The sequence below is a fragment of the Homo sapiens genome, chromosome 13, assembly GCF_000001405.40.
Source record: "Homo sapiens chromosome 13, GRCh38.p14 Primary Assembly".
NCBI lineage: Eukaryota > Metazoa > Chordata > Mammalia > Primates > Hominidae > Homo > Homo sapiens.
The window spans coordinates 104747690-104770324 of NC_000013.11; the positions used below are offsets into that span (position 1 = coordinate 104747690).

At 36.7% G+C, this 22635-nt stretch overlaps 1 long non-coding RNA gene across 2 annotated transcripts in view; it reads right to left on the bottom strand.

The window, feature by feature from the left end:
- Positions 1-5835: 5835 nt before the first annotated feature.
- The window catches only part of LOC107984606 (uncharacterized), an 84462-nt gene continuing 67662 nt past the window's right edge, over positions 5836-22635 (bottom strand). For both annotated transcript variants that reach the window (XR_001749995.2, XR_007063859.1), the window contains 2 exons: positions 13019-13066; positions 5836-8295 (listed from right to left, as the gene is read on the bottom strand). This is a non-coding gene — a long non-coding RNA (uncharacterized LOC107984606). The remainder of the gene's footprint in view (positions 8296-13018; positions 13067-22635) is intronic.

Consider the following 22635-nt stretch of genomic DNA (forward strand, 5'->3'; position numbering starts at 1 on the left):
ATAACCAAGGTGAAAATTTCTACCCTATCATAATGTCTAATTACTGACATTCAACCAAATGGATATATGTAACTGTAATTTTGGTCCCCTTCTGTATGAAAAAAAAAAAAAGGATTATTAAGTTTAAGACTTCTGGGGTCAGAAAACAAGTGGAAGATCATGATGAGAGACACGGATCTCTCCACTGGGTCACAGTGTTTTGAGCCCTCTGTAGATGTTGTGTCTGCTGCAAAGAATCAACCAGCATCATTGCTTGGAGGGCTGGGGAGATATCTGTGTTCCTCAGTGTGAACAGAAAAATGATGTAAATTTTGTGTGTTTTTTAAAGTATTGTCTTTTTAGTATCAGGCATTTGCTTAAAAACATGTATATCTATAATACTTCATGTTGCCCCTTTCTTAGAAGTTTACACTTTAAACTTTCAGTCATTAATAATTACATGAGTGATTGAAGCCAATGAATTAAAAAATATTGCTTTAGATCATCAAAATAACAATTAGTTTTATATAAGGCATAGATTTTCTTCTTAAAGTCCCCCCCCAAAATAAATAAATGCATAGCTAAGTAAACTAAGCACTAGTTATATTCAAAAGTATTTTATAATTTTTTTCAAAAAGTCAGAGCTGAATTAATATTCAATTCAATTGATTCATGTGGTAGGTCGTTGCACTTGTTCAAAGAAATATAGAATGCAAATATTTCAATGCTTTTGAAAGAAATCATGCTATCCAATAAACAGTGACATTGTATATATATTTTACTAATGTCATACAGTTTCAGATCTGTCCTATAAAGCAGAACAAAGTAGAAAGGTGGCCATTGCTTTATATTCATCCATGATTGATCTACTACTGAGCATTTATTTCAAAATCTCCACTAAGAATGGGAAAAGTACAACATCTACATCATTGTTTAAGTGCTAGGCTCAGCTTTGAGGAAGCACAGTAGGTGGCCGAAGTGAGAATTAAAACCGCCCAGTTTCTAAAGCTTACACATTTTTGTATTCCTCTTCAAAGGTTCCAGTGATGGCAGATTCTTTCCAATCTTGTTATGCAATTAGTTGCCTTGATTTTGCAAAGGAAATAAGGCCTTCATATCATACCAATAAGAAAGAGCCTTAACAGAACCTATTTTATTTCTATACCTTTATGAAAAAAAATCAGCACAGACATTGATATATACAGAAATTACTTCTAGCCTAATGTGAAATACAATAAAATAATTAATAGCAACTTTGTGTTAGGCAACTGAAGGTGTTTCAAATATCAATACAATTTTAATTTATACTTTGACAAAAACACACTGGAACAAAAGGGCTCTATGTAATGTCTAATAATTTCAATGAAATCATTGTATAAATTGCCTTATTTCTCTTAGCATAGCCTTGTGATGCCAAAGCTTGCCTCCCAGAGACATTTTTTATGAGTGACATCAAATATAAAATGTAACCACCTGAAAAGATTTATATTATATCACTATAATAAACAGAGATATGTATAATACATTTTGAATGAATTATCCAAATATTGTCAGGAAAATGGCTTTGGTTATGTCAATATGTGTGTGAAGTGATTTTGATCAATATTTAAATGTCTTTCATCTTACCTGATGTACTATTTGTCATGAATCTTAGTGTCTATTTGTTTAAAAAAGTTAAACCACTTATCTTACCCCAATTTTTAATTTTATCCAAGAAGCCTTTCTTTAAAGAGTAAAATTATGGAGACAGATTGAGTGAAAAAAGCGAGAATATGCTCTATGCCGTTCCTTTTACCTGGAAATCCCTCTGTTCTTTTTCTACCTTTTTTCATAACCTTCTTCACAACCACCATATAGTTGATGTCATCTAATTAATTTTTCTTGGCTCATTCCATTTGACTCTATACGCTTCTTTACTTAGATCATCACCCACACTAACATGTTTAACTTCCACTAGTTTAATGTACACTTGATCATTAATTTTAGTTTAATTCTATACTAGAATACATAGTGCAAGATGACAAGAGCTAATGTCATTGGATTCTTTGGCCTTTCGTCTTATCTTCCATTATCTCCTTTTTAATGATGTACCCCTGAATTCTCATCAATCTTTACTGGCATAGTCTCTATGAACATAGAAAACTGCTTACAAATCTGCTATTTATTACAGTGAATATAAGGACTAATAGTAAAACAATATTTTAATATGAATATGTATTCCTTATTAATGATAGTATCACTAAAATTTTTGGACTTGATTTCAAAATACCAATGTCCTCTCTTCAAAGCATTGTATTATCATTTCAAATATTTAAAGTACAAATTGCATTTATGGCTGTCCCTCTAAGTTGATTTGTTTGTACTTTGGGAGCTTAGTATTTACTAATTCTCTCTGAGTGCCTAGTGCTTTGCAAAAAAAAAAAAAAAGTAACAAAAATGAAAGAAAATAAAGTAATTTTTTTTTTTTTTTTTTTTTGAGACAGAGTCTCTCACTGTTACATGGGCTGGAGTGCAGTGGCACGATCTGGGCTCACTGCAACCTCCGCCTCCTGGGTTCACGCGATTCTCCTGCCTCAGCCTCCTGAGTAGCTGGGACTACAGGCACACACCACCACACCCGGCTAATTTTTTGTATTTTTAGTAGAGACAGGGTTTCACTATGTGGGCCAGACTGGTCTCCAACTCCTGACCTAGTGATCCGCCCGCCTCGGCTTCTCAAACTGCTGGGATTACAGGTGTGAGCCACTGTGCCTGGCCAAAATAACTTTTCTTAACATTGTGATAATAGTTTTCCATTTAAGTAAAATATGGGAGTCTCATCCTATTTAGTTCAGCTTAGGACAGCTTGGTGTACTCTGATCAATCCCTAATGTGGGTGTTCTGCATTTCTTCATCACCATGGCAGGCACTGGCGGAGCTAAGATTCTTACTGTGTGAGCACTGCTAGCATGCTTGATCAGTGAGGTCATGTGCAGGAAGTGCAAAGATTAACCTAGAAGGAGTCTGAATCCTACCTGTGAAACAAAATAGTTAGTAATGCTGCTAGCCAATTACACAGTACTCTCAATCCATAACATTATCATGAAATTCTATTTTTCCATCACTGCATATAGGGTACAGTATTCTTAATACACATTTATTTATTTATTTTTCCTGGTTTAAAATGTACTCTTAATATAAATAACTGTTAAAGAAAAATGGGGAACAACTGAAAGTCCATACAAGTCATTTAAAAAATTGAATGTTTAGATATTGCTATTTCTCTAGCTAGTTATCTTATTAGATAACATTATGTGTAGAGTTGGCTAACTTGATTCTTTTCCACCAGACAACACAGTGAGGATTTTGCCCTTTCAATAAAATATATATATCAAGAGTTGAGAGGAGTATATATTGTGAAAAAAAAGTAATAAGAAAAAATATGGTTTGCCTTGGACTCTGATCCTATTGTGGAAACTAGTTAATGTGGGAAACTCAGATCTCTGAGATTAAAGAAAAGAGTAAGTTTTCTTACATAAAATGTTTCTCATAGGAGAGCCCACTTAGAAATAATGTATTGTAGTAGTTTTTTTTGAATTTGCTAAATATTTTGAAAATGTTGCTTAGTATATACACTCTATGGTCTTATTTTTACATGCTTATTCTCATTTCAGAGTAATTTACTTACAATAGTTTTATTTTAGTTAGATGAAACTTTTTATCATAAGATGTTGAATGTTTTGATTATTGGTGTTTTCAGTGATGAGATGCATCAAGTTCAATAAGACACCTTGAGAATGTACTTTTTCTTACTCAATGATCAATCTTCTTTATATTATGATAATTTCTTCAATATCTGTGAACGTGCAGTATTTTATACAATTTATCAGGGAAAAAATCTTCTCCGAATTATGATAATTGACAAGACAGTAGCAAAGCTTTGAGTCAAAATACTGTAAACAGAGACAAAGAAAACAAATGTGCAGATAATTTATTTCTCATTTTTAAAAATATTTGTCAAACATTCTTTGCAGTGTTGTGGATACCTAGTTATTTCCTAATGTTCTAAAGAAAATAATAATATAGACAGGTAAATTTTAAAAGAAAGCCAAACTATATACACATATGAGATAGACATGTAATATAAGCAGAAAAAAACAGTGACAGTACTCATCACCAGAGAAAAAATTGGTAAAAAAGTAACTGATATGTCTACACTTGAAAAATTAACTGCGAGACTGGAAAAGAATATTTGTGTAAAGCTTGCACTGGAGATGTCTAAGAGTCAACGCTATTTCTGGAGTTCTCTCTACTTCCTCTAAAAGATATGGTCTGGTAATTTTTTTTGTTCACAACAGAGAAAATAAAATGTCTGTTTATGTCTGCTTAGAACAATTTATGAAGAGAATGTTTTACTTTAAAAAGGCGTAATTCAGCTGGGTGCAGTGGCTCACGCCTGTAATCCCAGCACTTTGGGAGGCCAAGGCTGGTGGATCACAAGGTTAGGAGCTTGAGACCATCCTGGCTAACACAGTGAAACCCCGTCTCTACTAAAAATACGAAAAATTAGCTGGGCGTGGTGGCACGCACCTGTAGTCCCAGCTACTCTGGAGGCTGAGGCAGAAGAATCGCTTGAACCTGAGAGGTGGAGGTTGCAGTGGGCTGAGATGGCGCCATTGCACTCCAGCCTAGACGACAGAGCAAGACTCCCTCTCAAAAACAGAAACAAAAAAAGGCATAATTCAAAAACTTTACCTATTTTTGAAAAGTGAATTACAGTGACCTAAAATCTCATTATCTCCTGTCTTCCAATGTTACAATATAAATATTTACTGGCATCATTTACAACACATCATATGAGTCAACCATTAACCATTATCACCAATAACCATTCTCACATTAATCATGACGCTGTCTGGGTCATGCATGTTAGCCCCTGCTCCTGCTCATGGAGAAATTACCAACTGATTCTCTTCCATTATATATTGGTGATAGGACATATTTTTCTCTTCATGCCTCTATTCTCAACAGTATCCTATGCCCTGTTCCCAGTTTAGGGTAGTTGATAGGTACAGTGTTTCTAGAACTTAAAATTGGTTCTTCTTACAAAGTGGGTTGGCAGTCCCACACTCAAAGAAAACTCAGTGAAAATGCTGGTAGTAATTTGATTCCAGGCTAACTCAGATGTGGTCTTACTACTGCCATCTGACATTATAAAATCTTCCCACTTTTGTGTAGCACTCCACCTACCTACATCTGCCTCCTCATACAATTTTACGGGAGGGTAGAAGAGACTTACTATCCCATTGTATAATCCATCCTATCCCCCTTTTCTCAGGATATCTCCACTACTGTTTCCCTTTCAGAATTTTTCTTCCAACTGTATCTTTCCCACAAACCTTCAATTTTGTTTATACGTCTTTGTCCTTACATTGCATTCCAAGGATAATCTTGCCACTGGATTCCTCTTTACAGTCAAATATCTGGAAATAAATTTATATTCCTAGTTTCTCTACTTCCTCAGCCCCTGTTCACTTCTCATCGCCCCCCAACTCCACAACTCCAAGACCCTACCAAGAAGCACTTTCTGAGATGAGCAAAGACCTCTCATTCCCTAAATGCAGTGGGAGAGGTCTTGCTAGACTCCTCAACAGCTTTGGAAATTGTGAAGTATTGTGACATCCAGTCAACATTAATTTCAGACCCTTTTCAGACACTGGGAACATGGTGATAAACAGAACAATGTCCCTGCTGTTACAAAGCTTACTTTCTGGCAGGGAAGACAGAAAATAAACAGGAAACAAATAAACATGAAGAAAATATATTGTTCAAAAGTAAGAAAAAAATAAAGGAAATGCAATTGATGAGAGGACAAGAATAATATTTTAGTTGGGATATTCATGGAGTAATTCTTTTGATTCTTGAAGTATTTCTTCTTTGGGCCACTGCAACACACCCTCCTCATTTTTCACTCCTCTGAGACTCCTTTGCACCTCTTTGTTCATCTCAGCACACAATGGTAGCATTCAAGAAGCTTGTGCTGGGCTTTCCTTCCCTGACTCTACACATTAATCCCAGGCAATTAAATATATATGAATAAACCTCAACATTTTCATAGCCAGATATGTATTTATCTCAGAACCTTAGATCATAACGTCCATCTAGGTATCTCTCTAACATCCATCTGGGTTTCTCCTGGCACTGCACCCTTGAAAGATTTCAAGACAAAACTCCTTATTAACGTTGACCTCTATTCATTCTTTGTGTAACCCATGTATCACCAAATCCAATGGTAGAAGTCAGAAATATGGAAGCTTTTTTTGTCCCTTTTCATCCTCATCTTCCATAAGTAACCCATCATTGCCGATTGTACCTCATAAATATCTTTCAAGTTCATCCATTTCTTTCTGTCTTCAAAAACAACTACTTCATGCCAATCTACCATTGTCTCTCAACTGGAGAAAATAATAGCTTTTTTCCCCCAGGATTCAGTCATCATCTGTCTGCCTTTTTTTTTTTTTGGCTTGTTTTATATTATTCTTTATTCTCCAAATTATTTTCAAAGTCATCACTTGACAATTTCAAGCTGTTAAAAATTCTTCTGAGACTTAGTCTGGACACATTGTCCTTCAATTCAGATGTCAGTTCTTGAAGAATGTTTCCTCTAGCTCAAAAGGCACATTCAGGTGCCTTTGTTATATGCTATCGGAGTATGTTGTGTTTTTCTTTAAAATGTTAACCAGGGTTAAAAGTTTATATTTACCTGTGTAATTACTTAAATAATGTTGTGCTCTACTTCCATACCACATGCTTTTGAACAAATTATCTTACATTGCAGTACCTAAAATGGAACTCAACATGTATGAGTGAGTAAATACATGTTGAAGAAAGTTGAAGATTAGTGAAGTGATTATATTGTTATAATTTTCTATTTGGTGGCCACTTTGTAGATTTATCAAGGATCTTTTCATTGCAAGGATGGACATATAAGTTAGGTTACAGAGAGTAGCACTAGGAAGCAGAGTGAATAAAGCATATAATTTTTAAAAAGGCATGGATTACATTCTGGCTAAAGAGAGAAACAAGTAAAATAAAAGGTTTGCTAAATAAAACCATATTTTAAGTTTAAGATGAGAGTTGTAAACAAAGTTTTATAGTGAGGGAAAGGGGCAATTTCTAAAAAAAAAAAAAGAAATTGATTATGTGAATATAATAAAAGGTTAAAAAAGTACATGATGGACCAGAAGACAGGGGTCTAAAGAAAAGAAAGAGGGAGAAGAAGTCATCTGAGTTGGAGAAATGTGAGCAAACATGGAACATATGAGGCATTTGGTGTAGTTACTGAAAAGTTTTTAGCACCACGATACTGCAAGGGAAAGATGCCTTCTGTCCCATGGAATTTCATTCATTGAGAAATAAAGTCCTGGCAATTTTGCTTGGGAAAATACAATGGAGTTCTTCTCTCCAGACGTTTTGCTGCATCATTACATGTAAAATTTTCCACTAACGAACTTCACACATAAAAATATAAATATTCTCACTTTAATATTTATGTCAAAATATGATTTTGCTATCACAGCACTGTAGTTTATAATTTAAATTGTAAACTTTTCATAATGAGAGAGGTAAGGACCATAGTAACATATGATTCAATTTTCTCATGCTATAGATTTAAAAACTGAGCTCACACAGCTAAAGAACAATGCTAGAGTGATAGCCTGACTCAATATTCAATTAAATGTCATTTCAAAATCAATTCCTAGAATCTTGCCTATCTTGTATGCTCCTGTGGTTCTTAGGATAACATATCTCTGTTTTCTAAATTGTAATCATTTTTCCTGGCTAACATCTGCACAGGCTGCTATTTGTGCACTGTACACATCTTTTTATCTTCCACTGAAAGTATATAGGTAATTTTATGCAGTGCAGTTTTTTTTCAAGGGGGTTATCATATAGATAGACCAGATAATAGAATTCTCTAAGGTGGAGATGAAAAAGACCTGTCAGGTCACTTAGTCTAGCTCTTCGACAATGCAGTTTTTTTTCTTAGATTATTCTTTTGAATATTTGAGCAGTCTAATTTGAAAGCAATTCCAGTAATGGCACGGCACACATTTTCACATGGTGTTTCTAGAGACTTCTTACCTCTCAGCAGCAAGTGTTTCCTGAGAAGACATTTGAGTTCCAATTTCCTTTCTGACTAGATTTACCTATTCCCTCAACTGTTACTTCAGTTTAACCCACCCAAATACTGAACCTTTTTCTCCCTCTTACCTCTTCTGGCTGTGGTGATCTTTTCTTTTTAGCAACGCTTGAGTCTGTGTTTGCCATTTAAGCCTTCAAGAATTTGAGGAAAAAGTTTAAGAGGATTAATTGTATAAAATTAATTACTTTATATTGGATGAATAAAAGTTTTATTAACTTTCTGAATTTTTGACACTGACTGTAGCATAATGGATGAATTAACCTATTCATTTTTTATAGTGATAGAACCTGAAATGTGAAATATACATAAGAAATTATGGCCTAGGCCCAACCACATGCAAACTGACAAATCCACAGTCCAGGCCAACTTCTGAGATTTTTTTCTTTAAAAAGTTATAATAATTTATTATATCTGCATATTTTTTATATGCAGATATATGCAATAATTTATTATTATTATTGCATATTATATATGCAATAATTTATTATATCCTGGTAGTCAATGCAACTTTGTTTTATGATGAGAATAGATTCAAGTGAAGAATTTGAACAACGTGTACACATTCACAGATGAGAAACAAATAATAAAACCTCTACCACCTCTGGTGCAAAAGAAGATTCAGAATTCCGGTCATTGCTGTGGAATATACGAACTATTTCTGTGTCAATCCGTCTGCTTCCTAGTAAGCACATGCTGAGGCTGAGGGGTTCTCTTTGAGTTTTATCATGCTTACATGCAGACGTCATTAAGTTAGGAGCAGCCAGGCATTAGGGGATGTTTCTGACCATAGTCATTTATTCAGCAAATATAAAGTGAGGAGATATAATGTGCTATGCAAAGGAGAGAAGAGAAAATAAAAAATTCTCTATATTTGTTTTAAGAATTGAAGTCACAGGCCATACTGCCTAAAGCAGGATGGTTCACTGTTGTAAGACATGTAGCAAGGGGAAAACTGAGTATTCAGTCTAAATTATAGGAAAATCTTAATAATAAAAACTAAAAAATGATGGTCCACTGTTGTGAAACAAAATTAGATTTGTCTTTATATTTACTTTTTTCTCACTGAAAACAAATGCAGTATGAGCTGATTTTTAGAAAGATTCATAAAAGTCATAATAACTTGATTTGGGTGAGGAGAAACTGCTCTGTGCCCTGCAATAATCAATGTCTTGAACTCTCTACTCATGCTCTACTGTGCCCTAAATCCATAAGCTCATAAAACCTTACACATATCCCCTTATCTTCCAGAATCTTGAATGAATTGAGGTCACATTATCCTTGCTCAGGAGCGATGAGAAGACATGAACACGCGCAGACCTGTTGTACTCAACTGACACTCCACTCACCTGATTACATGCAGTAGTTCCCAGGTGCTCCTAAGAAAAAGCTTCCTGAGAAATCTCATAGAAATCCACCCTCGAAGCTTAATTTAGCACTTCAAAAAATGAAACGCCTTTAAACAACTATTCCCTTGCCTGTTCACATAAGTTTCATTGAAAACGTCAAGCTTACGCACTGACAAAGAAACATGATTTTCTTCCTATCCATGTTCATAGTTTAATCAACAGTGTAGAATTAAAACTGTATGCATATACTCCTTAGCAACTGGGAAGGAGTTAAAAAGTTGCTCTTCTTTTCTCTATATATCTGAATTTTTCTACCAGCTTTTGACCTTTACATATATTGACCTTCCTCAAAATACAGTATAATTATTTAAAACAAATTCCAGCTTCATTACAATTCTAGCTGAACTTGGAAAAAAGCAAGACACAGATATCTTTTTCAAATGCCAAAATATTCCAAGTGAAAAGAAATTAAATATGATGCAATTTAAATATTCTGTGCTTATTTATTTGTAGCCTGCTTTTTTCCAGCTGCTAACACAAATTCATATGGTTCATCATTAAAAAGAAGGTGAGCAAATTCAGCCAAATAAAACAAAATTATGAAAGTAAGTTGAAGCCAGGGAAAAATTATTCATAAAGTGCTAGGTGTGGGCTGAAAACTTGGCTCTGTGTTTCTTAGAGATCAAAGCTAAAAGAACAACATAAACACATGATTCACAGTGTCCAATGCGGGGGGAACAAAGAAGTAGGTTGCTCTGGAGAGGAAAGGCTATTGCTGATAATGTTTTCAGTGGAAAAACATTTCACCCATGGTCTTTCCTCATAAAGAGAAAATAGATATGCAAATACGGATGTGGAGATATATGTTTGTCATAAAATGTGTTTGTCATAAAAACAATATGAGTGGCAACGTAAAATGGTACAGCCACTTTGAAAAACGCTATGGTGATTCCTGAACATATCAAATGATTACATAAGGCAGCAATTTGACTTCTGGGTGTACGTCCAAAATAAGTAAAAGCAGGGAATCAAAGAGATATTTATATACCCACATTCACTGAAGCATTATTCGCAGTGGCCAAAAGGTGGAAGCAACCCAAATGCCTATCAGTAGATGACAGTTGATAAACAAAATCTGGTACAAACATGCAATAGAATATTATTCAGCCTTAAACAAGAAATACAATTCTGACACATGCTACAAAGTCAATAAAATTGAGGTTATAGTGCGAAGTGAAATAAGCCGGTTACAAAAGAACAAATGCTATATGAGGTCCCTAGAGACGTCAAATTCATAGAGACAAAAACTAGAATGAAGGTTGCCAGGGGCGAGGGAGGGGCAATGGGGAGTGAGTGTTCAATGGCAACAGAGTTTCAGTTAGGGAAGATAAAGAAGTTCTGGAAATGGATCGTGGTAATACAATGTGAATGTACTTAATGTCGTAGGACTGTATGTTTAAAATGAGTAAAACGGTACATGTTGTTATATATGTTTTCAGACATTACAAAAAATATGTTGTATAACACTATTTTGTATAACACCCATAGATTGAATCTAATATTCAAAAGGCCATTCACTAGATGCATTTCTATAAAGACTGAAACCATATGATCTAGTTCTGTAGCTGTCAGATGTTCTGACTTAATAAAATGGCACAACACAGAGAAGCTAGAGTAATGGTTTTCAAGCTTGGAGTGAGTGAGTGTTTATTCACTGTTTATTGAAGTATCATAATAGAAAATGAGTGTAAGATCTCTGTTGTGTGCACACTTTTGACCAGGTCTCCATGAAACACAGACTGAAAACTGTTATTCTAGAAAGACTGAATAATCATTTTATTTTTCCACATGTCATCTTTCCATTATAAGCGGCCTTTACTATCAAGTATATCACTATGTTTATGCTTTCACAAGTTAGCAGAAATTACGCTGTCGAACCATCATGCACCAAGGGTCATTGGAAATTAACTAAAGTTTTAGGTATCAGATTACTAGCTGAATTACAGAGACACAGCCCTTTAACTTATATCAGAGCTTCCCATGGAGCAAACAGGTTATGCAACAGGTAATGGCTTACATAAACCATTACCCCTTGACTGGGGCAGAGGGGAGTCTTCTCTCTTTCAAAACCACTGACATTTTTTATTATCTGAAATACATGAAAATATCTTCAAAATGGTGGCAATATCTATTAAGTAAGAATCTAAATACCACACCATCTGATAAGAAACAAACAATATTTTACTATGTAAGCTCTTATGTTTCTAAAGCAGAGAAAAATCAGGGAAACATTTTCAAGGACTAATCTATAATGTCAGCCACTTTCTTATGTATATCTGCTAAATCCCATGTGTTGTGAGATTAGTCAAAAATGTCAGGTCAAACACTCCACATACAACAGCACATACTGATACCATTCAGCAACAATAGGATATAATAAGGCTCTGGGTTTAGGGCACTATATTTCACATGACTGGTTTTCTATAGGCCCCTATCTTATTGGCCCAGCATTTCAATGGAAATTGTGTATTTAAAGTATTCTTGTTTTTTAGTAATTTCTTCCCTGATCCCAAAATAAATTTTAAATAGCCCCTTGTTAAATTATCTTAGGATCAGCTTGTAACCCATCCCTCAGGTAAATATATATATATAGCTTAATGAGTATAATTTTTACTCAAGCTGTATATATATGTATATATATATACATATATGTATATATATAGTTACATATATATATGTGTGTATATATATATAGGTTTTAGTGGTTCCAATTCCAATTTTCCTTATATATCTAGAGACCAATTTGTGGTACCTGCCATGAGAGGAAAATTCTTTCAGTCTATTAGGTATGACCAAGTTATTAGAAGTATTGGTGCCCATTCACTTGGTTCCAGGTTTCTAGAGGCATAGGCAAGTGAGACGGAGTGGAGTAGTTCTTTCAGAGGGATAGGAGCCAGCAAGGGTCTCTGGGCTTGGAAATATATTTTACACTTTCCATCAATTCCTGGTGAAATGGTGAGCTGTTCAGACCCTCACAGTGTATTAGCTATCCTTATGGAATTTTACCACTATGTGAGCTGTTCCCTTCATTGCAAAAGGGGATGTGTGAATGCCTTGATTTTGATACTTAGCTGCAGTGTTACTCCTGGACCTGTTCATCCAGGTACAGTGTTTCTTTTGTGCAATTTAACATAGGGTTCTGGAATGAGAGGTATGCCTCCCATATTAGAGAACAATATTATTTCACATAAACAACATTAAGACTGATTAGTCACAGGTGGCCAATAAGCAATGTCAATATTTTTACTGGTGTAAATAGACTCCCTCTTTTGGTGTCTCGAATTATCTGAGAGTGCCACTCCCGGAAAACTAGAATATGGTTGCAATTACTGCTCTAAAGTAGGGCTGGCTTTCTATATTACCATGTTTCTACCATAGGATATATACTGACTGAATAAAAATTTTTACTAAACTCTATTACAATTGAATGATAGATCCCTTTACTCACCACATGTGCCACTAGATTCTCCATTCCTCCACTTGGAAGGTTCTAGTGCTGGAGCCATAAGTTTGTGAAGAGAAGAGAGAAAAGAAAACAGTTCAAGTTTTCTCCAAATTACCTCATAAGATGAGCTTCAAATGTCTACTGCCCATGGTGTTTGTGTGCTTAAAATATTAAGCAATAACTATTCAGGACTCATAGCCTTTAGAGTGACAGGAGAGGCAGCTCTGACTACTCTTTCTGCCTGGACTGTTAACGCCTTGAAGAGTAAGGTGCACTGAATGTCAGTCTTTGAACCAGTCAATCAAATTTCCTAGTCAACACTACCGATGCTCTTGAGTGAGGGGATGATGTCACTCTCCTCTCCTTGGTTTCCTAAGATAATTCTGGAAAGACAAAACAAAATAGCATCTGCCGTTTTGTTTCCGGTGCTACAAGAAGTTAATTAGTGGAAGAGTAAGGTTAGAAGCAGAAGGAAGGTGGCTTCCCTGAGCCAGCCTGATCTCTTCTTGCCCTACTTTCATTTGGGTACTTCTGAGCAACATATTGGGCAGCTAGAGTTATATGTATCCAGATGTTAACTTACCTCAATACACAGATAATACCTGTGTATACCTACATATGCAATCCTAATTCATTGTCCCCAGGGCTGTGTCCTTTAATCTCTCAATTGGGGAGATCAGATCTCTTTTTATTCTTCCTCCTGTGGTTGATTGCAGAGAGGAGTTGCTAATCATGCCAGTTCTTTTTTCCCTGGATTTGGTGGCAAATAAAGCTTTGCTAAATGGCTCCTACACTTCCATTAATATCTCATTGAATCCACTATTGCCTGATACTCTGGATCTAGAACACTCTCCACTGCCACCACCTCTTGTCTCATGGATCACAAATCTGGAGCTCAAATGGACATGTTCACACCTTCACGGGGAAGCACTTTGTTACATTCAACCAATTTATCTAAGTTTCTGTGGGCAAGTTAGAAATATTGTAGTTACTTCCTGTGTGGAAAAGCTGTTTCAGAATACGTAAAACAAATCCAACATAGAGTTCCTTCACCACACCATTCCAGCAGCACCTACTTAATAAAGCTGGGCACGGTAGCTCATGCCTATAATCCCAGCACTTTGGGTGGCCAAGGCTGGCAGATCACCTGAGGTCAGGAGTTGAAGATCAGCCTGGCCAACAGGGCAAAACTCCGTCTCTACTAAAAATACAAAAATTAGCCAGGCGTGGTGCCAGGCTCCTGCAGTCCCAGCTACTCAGGAGGCTGAGGTAGGAGAGTTGCTTGAACCCAGGAGGTGGAGGTTGCAGTGAGCTGAGATCGTGCCACTGCACCCCAGCCTGGGCAACAGAGTGAGACTCCATCTTGCAAAAAAAAAAAAAAAAAAAAAAAAAAAAAAAAAAAAAAAAAAAGTAGAGGCTGATTCTAGCCTTACAATTCCTTTTCCCTGACTCTATCTTTTGAAGGTTTCCTTGGTTGTAAATGCTGATTGCCTGTGCAGTACTTCTAAGAAGCCTAGTCTTTAAAAACCCATAGCTTTGTTGTATCCTTCCTGCTGCACAGGGTAATAAGGACGGTGGAAATGCCACACAATGAGACTACATTTTGCCCAAATCTAAATGTCATGGGCAGAGAAGCATGATTTCTGGTAGGAAGCAATGGTAGCTAGAGTTCTACAAGCTTTATTAAATTATCTGCCTACATTCTTTACTCCTGACTGCCAAGATCCTATAGACAGTAAATAGCTTTTTAAGTCCTGATTGAAAATACGTAACAATGAGCCTGCTCAGATGTCTGAGTGAATTTGCTCATACTTCTGTCAAAGAATGGCATATTCTCATGACAGCTACCCCATTGTTCTCCTTGCCTTACTCCTTTTAAGACAATCAGTACATTTCGTGTAGGGAAGCACGGCCTTTCTAGCTTGCTTATTTAAGGACACGCCTTGTGACCTCTGTGGGGCGTGTCAAGGTATTAGTTGGCAAATTACATGGTAAGCTAAAGGCAAGCCATTTCTGTGAACTTTCGGCCATTCTTTTGTATCTCTAAAATACACCACATCAGATTTTATCAGGTAAGCTTAGACATGCCTCTTAATACCCTAGGTCATGTCTGCTGAAAGTCAGGCAAGTCAGCAAGTTTCAGCCCCGTTTCCCAGGGAGCAGTATAAATAAAGATCCATCTATGCCTTCTTGGGATAGAGATATCCCAGATATCTGGTAACTGGACTACTAAGATTCCAGCCATTGTACTCATGCTCTGGGGTATCTGTTAACATTCCACCTGTCGCAGGAACATGGCTGCTGTGTGTGCCAATGCTACTACCTGTGAGAGTGGTAGACTGTTCTATTTCGGACTACAACTTCTGCTTTTCTTCTTACCGCAAGGCCTTCAGTGGAGTTCAGGAGAACAAATCCCCAAAGGCTGAGTGACAAGTATTCTTTACATTTCCAGCTCTTAACCTGAGTGGGCTAGGATTGTGACTACTCTGGTTGTACTATTGACCACTGATTCCTGAACCCAGCTAAATTTATATTCAGTTACCTGTTGTTACTCGAAGCACAGTTGGATTGGAAAAACATCCTAAACTCCCAGTAAACTGCTTTTCAAATAAACCACTACTCTAAAAGCCAAGTGCTATTGATATGGTTTGGATATTCATCCCCTCCAAACCTCAGGTTGAAATGTAATTCCCAGTGTTGGAGGTGGGGACTGGTGGGAGGTGTTTTAGTCATGGAAGTGGATGCCTCATAGCTTGGTATTCTCCTCACAATAGTGAGTGAGTTCTCGTGAGATCTGGCTCTTTAAGGGTGTTTGGCACCTCCCCTGCCATTGCTCCCGCTCTTGCCATGTGAGATGGCTGCTCCTCTTTCACCTGCCCCCATGATTGGAAGTTTCCTGGGCCCTCACCAAAAGCAGACGCCAGCACGACACTTCCTGTAAAGCCTGAAAAACCATGAGCCAATATAACTCTTTGCTTCATAAATTACTCAGCCACAGGTTTTCTTGCTTGTTTGTTTTTGTTTTTTGTTTTTTGTTTTTTTATTTTTTTATTTTTGAGACAGTCTCGCTCTGTTGCCCAGGCTGTAGTGCAGTGGTGTCATCTCGGCTCACTGCAACCTCTGCCTCCCAGGTTCAAGCAATTCTCCTGCCTCAGCCTCCCGAGTAGCTGGTGTTACAGGCGCCCACCACCACACCCAGCTAATTTTTGTATATTTAGTAGAGATGGGGTTTTGCCATGTTGGCCAGGCTGGCTTTGAACTCCTGACCTTGTGATCCACCCTCCTCGGCCTCCCAAAGTGCTGGGATTACAGGTGTGAGCCACTGCACTCAGCCAGGTATTTCTTTATAGCAATGCAAGAATGGTCTAATACAAACATCAAAGTGTCATTCCTCTCCTTGAGGACTACTGTGAAATCCAAGTCATTAGGTTTCATCAGTCCCAGCTTTAGAAGTTATTGGACTCTGATGGTTGAAGGCCCCAAGGATAAGGTCTATTGCAATGCTCGATTGATCTTTTCTATGTCAGAGTCACCTTTTCCCCCTATTTTTCTACTGTTGTAACTGCCAGATCACTTACAAAGCAGTCTGGCATCTCCTGTATGCTTCCAGAACTTGGATGTAGGGTCACTGGGCTTACACAACCAGGATGGGGTTACTGCTCTTCAGGTCAAATGACTCTTCGTCTATTTGCTGTCATGCTTTTGTCTTTTATCAATACCAATACCAATTACCAATGTATCATTGGCATTCTTGCCCCAATTTCTGCCTTAAGAATAAGTCCCACTATCCTGTAATTTTCATATGAAGCAGGATTAATATCTGAACTCCATTAATCAGATTTCTACTTGTGTATCAGAAATTAGATCTCTCCAACTTAACACAGAGGGTTTCTGTTACGTGTTAAGTTGTATTCCCCCAAAATTTAAATGTTCAAGTCCGAACCTTTAGTACTTTAGAGTGTAAGCTTATTTGGAAACAGGGTGACTGCAGATGTAATTAATTAAAATTAGGTCATGCTTGTGTGGGGTAGGCCCTTGATCCAATATTACTGTTGTCTTTATAAAAATGAGAAATGTGGACATAGACATGCACATGAGGAGAACATCATGTGAAAATGAAGGCAGAGATTAGGCAATGCGACTATAAGCCAAGGAACACAGAAGGTTGCCAACAAACCACCAAAGGCCAGGATGGGGCATGGGACAAATTCTCCTTCACAGCCTTCAGGAAGAACCAACTCTGGTGACACCTTGATCTTGGACGTCTAGTCTCCAGGAATCAGATAGTAAATTTCTCTTGTTTAAGTTTCTCAATTTGGGGTACATTTTTACAACAGCCCTAGCAAACTAATACAGTCTCCATATAGTGTAATCCCAGCTATGCAATTTCCAAACAGCAAGCTTATCTCTGACTTCTCATAAAACGAAGTAATAATTTGAATTTAACTCTAATTTATACTCTTCATTTTCCTTCTTTAATTAGTATTCCCCAAGAACCCTATTCTTGAATGACCTTCTACTCTTCCTTAACATATGCCTAAAGTAAAATTTAAAAATGCATATATTTTAAAGTAAAATTGAAGGAACAATATTTGGGCTTCACTGATAAATGTTTACCTACTTAAAAAAACAATAATGGTATAGTTATTAAATCTTCTTGGAGAATATTTATGAAATCCTACAAAATTTTTGCTTATTGCCTAAGTAATATGAAACACTTACAGGTTTAACAATTGCACTATTCCATGCTTTTTACCCATGATGGATTTATATTTTTATGTTCTTGACATGGTATAAATTTATTTGTGGAAAAACAGGTAAAATTTAGGTTATTTCTGATAATGTGAGCCCCCCATAAATTGCCCAAAGTTTGGTCTTTTGTTGTTTAGTTTCCTGGCTGGCAACCTTGTCCACTTTGCAAAGTATTCTGTAATGTGAGTTGCATAATTTTCCTGTATCCATAAAAGCAAGTAGTCAACACAGAGCCAGGATGTGTCTGTTAATTCATTTCATGAATGATTTCTGTATCTAAATGATATAAAGAAGTTATTAAAATGAATTAAAGTCACAGAATTCATCAATTTAATATTTATTAGAAAAATACAACAATTATTGGTTGAAACCTTCACTAATTAAAAGAAATGCATATAATGTGTGGCTATACATTTATTCATATATCCGTAAAGATTCGTGTTGAAACATTCAAATTATTCAACATCTATATATTTCATTTCCTTTTTCCTATACCAGTTGCTCTGTTGCTCATATATATTAATGGAATATTAATGCTGGAATGAAGTTTTTGAGATACAAAACTCTCTAAGTTAAAATGTATTAAGCGAAATAGGCCTGGGATGTCAATGGAGAATACTCAGACTGTTTATTTCAAACAGAGCAGAGATTCTTTCTTGAAGCTCTCCTTTTTTCTGGTTTTCTGGTTGTTCTGTGACTCAGAAGACTGCCCCTCATGTCCCATAGAACTTGCTGGGGCAAACAAGTTTTCAGGGGCCACTCCAGAAGCAGAAGACAGATGAAGTCCATGAGGCTCTTTACTGCTACATCTGGCAACTGAGCAGCTCTATTTTCATCTTTTCTGTATATATTTTTGTATACTATGAGAGTATAGGAAACTGTGCTATTCCCCTATTAATTATAAATAAGTTATTAAAACACTAGACTTCATCCAGTTTCCCAAACCATCATTTAAATATGAAAAATCCTTTTAAAAAATGTTTAGCTTTCTTCTAAGAGACTCAACTGCTATATCTAATGTAAAATCACCACCCCCACCCACACACACACACAGGCACACTTAAGCTTTTAGCTTGGCATGATTATACTGTTGAGTTCCACATGGTTTAACTGCAGATATGACATGCTCTGGAGATATTTCTAATGGTTTGTGTAATTAAATAATTTACATTGGTATTTGTTCCCAGAAAGATAATATGTTTAATTCATTTATCAAAAAAGTTCAATTAGCTTTTTCCCACAAGAAATTTCTTGTTAATTTTATTTTCATTTCCTAGGAAAAATAATAGTTTTGAGTAAAGCTGATATATACTCAACATAAGGAATTCAAGCAATATGAAAAGCACTAGAAGATAGAGAAAAAAAGTCTTTCCAGCAGAAGTATGTAGATGAAATTTAACTATACCTTGTTCCAAAAGTCCTTGTATAAATATGCACAAATGAGTGTATATAGATAGTAAAGGAGACAGACAGATAAAAGTTTATTTTAATTATCATCATGCAACATATGACATTTTAAAAGAATACCTTGCATTATATTAAAGTATCATGTTAATTTTACTTAAAAACTGAGAGGAAATGGAATTGTCTAACATGAAATATTTATCCAATTAGATTATTTTCTGATGTTAAAAAATTCCTTAAAGACATTGAAAGTTAGGATCATTGTGTGTTATTTATAATCACTTTTCAATATTAGACTCTGGTATGGAAGACAAGGACATGAATATATTCACACTTCATCATAACCCAAGTCTGCCAATTATATTAGCTTTTACATTTTCAAGGTTTGTAACATCGTTATTCAATTCTATAACTATAGTTCCCACCATAATTTCGTACTGTTTTATATTTAAATTGATTGAGTACTTAACAGAATTCATTTTATGATGGTTCCTCAATTCTTGAGTTGTTTTTATTTAACTGTTCTTTGACCAGACTTCACTGACAGAAAATAATTTCTTTTTCTTGATGGTTCATATTTGAGAATGTCAGCCTGTGCATCTATGCACGATTGACGTGGCAGAATATAAAGTCTTTGCTCCAGAATTATTTCCCAAAGATCTCGGTAGGCAACATTATTGCATTGTCTTCCAGCCCTGTCTGAGGCCAGCTCAGTTTCTCTGCCTTTTAAATGGCTTGCCAGTCTCGCTTGCTGAATAAAGAATTATGAAAAATAAAAAGCAAATGTTTACACTTTAGTTTTAAAATAACATCTGGCTAGCTAAAATAATCTTATTTGTGGTGTAGTTTTTATCTGTAGTCTGACAATAGATCAAAAGTCGACTTTAAAAATCTTGTAAGGTGTGCTTTTTAAACCTCAGATTAAGTCTTTTATTTCAATAAGTAAACTTTCTTCATTTGCATGTTTGATATGATTTGGCTTTGTCCCCACCCAAATCTTATCTTGAATTATAGCTCCCATAATTCTCACATGTTGTGGGAGGGACCTGGTGGGAGATAATTGAATCATGGGGGCAGTTTTCCCCATGCTGTTCTCATGGTAGTGAATAAGTCTCACAAGATCTGATGATTTTATAAGGGGAAACCCCCTTAATTGGCTCACATTCTCTCTCATCTGCTGCCAAGTACGACGTGCCTTTCACCTTCTGCCATGATTGTGAGGCTTCCCCAGCCACATGGAAAACTTTTTCTCTATAAATTACCCAGTCTTGGGTGTGTCTTTATCAGCAGTGTGAAAAGAGATTAATACAATGTTATCTTTAATAACTTCTCCCCTCTGTTTTTCTTACCCTTTTCAAGTTACTACTAATTTTTCTCTAGCCCCTATATAAATAGTTTTCAAAACGTGGGCCCCATACAAGCAGCATCAGCATCACCTGGAAACTTGTTCAAAATGCAAATACATTCTCAGTCTGCCTCAAACCCACTAAATCAGAGACAGTGAGAGTGGAACTCAGTATTCTGTTAACAGTAGCTTCAGGCAATTCTGAAGAATGCTAAAGTTTGAGAAACCATACTCTGTGCCATTAATTCAGTAGTTAGGTAAATCTACATAGCTGGTTTCTAATAGTTCAGTCCTCAATTTAGGAACTCAGTATTCTGTTAACAGTAGCTTCAGGCAATTCTGAAGAATGCTAAAGTTTGAGAAACCATACTCTGTGCCATTAATTCAGTAGTTAGGTAAATCTACATAGCTGGTTTCTAATAGTTCAGTCCTCAATTTATCGCCCTCAGTTTGCAACATCCCTTACTGTCTCCTTCTGTGTTTTCTTGCTGCATTGAGTTTAAGTTCTCAGGTAATTCTGCATTATTTAACGTATATTCTTATTTTTATTATTGTACTGTGCCGTTTGCATAGTTGATTTGATTATTTTTTAATCTTCTCCATCCTTACATGGCAATGCTTGGGACCACTATTTGCTCCGACATGAATGGGATCCATTTCTACGTGATTCCCACCATCTGTGAGAAAAGATTAATTTTGTTCTCTGACCTACATTATGGGAGCAGGGTATTTTGTGTGGCCCATCCGGTTATCATAGCCCAAAGAATATTGGATCCCAAAAGCAGGAGTTCTCTCTCATAACAATTCGTGAAGTTTCCTATACCAGGGTTCATAATACCTGTGCCTTTGCAGGGCAGTGGAGAGGAGAACTCATTCTTTTGATCTTGAGATCTTCCTGTATCAGTGTTTTGTACTAAAGTCTTCACTTTTTCAGAAAACATCAGCTTAATTTTTCAATGTCTTGTATCACCTATGTGTCCCAGCAGCCATTTCCACTGATCCCTTGTTGGAGGGAATCTATGAACGATCCCACTCTGAGGGCATGTGCATAGGCATTAGGAATGCTGTGTACTATTGGTATTTCAATACTATAATAGCGTCTCAGTACATCAGCCCTATCATTCACGTGCGTGTGGATGTATCTGAGTATCATGAACTCATCTATTAAAGAGGCTCCCAGGCAATTTCTGAGTCCCTGGCACCTCCAAATATTCCTCATGGGTGGGAATGAGAGGAGCGCTCTAGAGGCCCACACTATGCTTTTCCTGGGAGAGTTACACATGTTTCCATCTTGTCTATCATGATTGTCCACAGTGCTTTATTTGACCTATAGGAAAAAGCCACCTATTCCTGGTCCAGGCTGCTACACAGCAGCAGTTTTTTGTTTGTTGCCATGTACAGGTAAGTGCTGCAGAAGAGGCTGCATTGTTGAATTCAGAACAAGAAAGCTCAGGGTAACTAACCTATGGTGACCACAGCTGACAGCTGTGGTATTCTTGGCAGGTGTCTCTCCCGTGCTTGTCTTTGTTTCTACCTTTGAAGAAGCAAAGCAGAGAACCCCAATTCGCCCTCTGTACCTTCAACACTCACTTCCTCACCACAGCTAGCTGCCTTAGGATAATCGGAATGAACTTCCCTTTGCCCTTGACCTAGATTTATGTCAGTCACCAAAAGAAGCCAAGGCGCTCAGATCAACCCATCACCCTCACATCACCATGTGGCCTTACACAGTCTCTGCCTGCCACCACCCAGAGGGAATTGGCCAGATAAGAAGGAAAGATGCACGATCCAGAAAGGAGCAGGGAGATATTCAATGGCTTCGCCCTCGAGAAGATGCGTAGTCATTTCTTCCACAGTGACAAGTGAGAAGGAAGGCAGGCAGATGGGGCAGCAATGGGAGCTTGTGTGTTGTGAGATCTGTTCTCGTAGCCTTTGGCTTTTTCTGTGATTTAAGTCATCAGCTGAGAACGAAGGTGGGACACTGGAGATTATAGCAGGGACAGGAAAGTTTTGAGGATAAAAAAAGAATAAAATAGTCATATGTGAAATTAGAAGAATGAAAGGCTATAGAATAAAGGATAATTGCCCAAGACCACTAAGGCCCCAGTCGTCTGCCTAC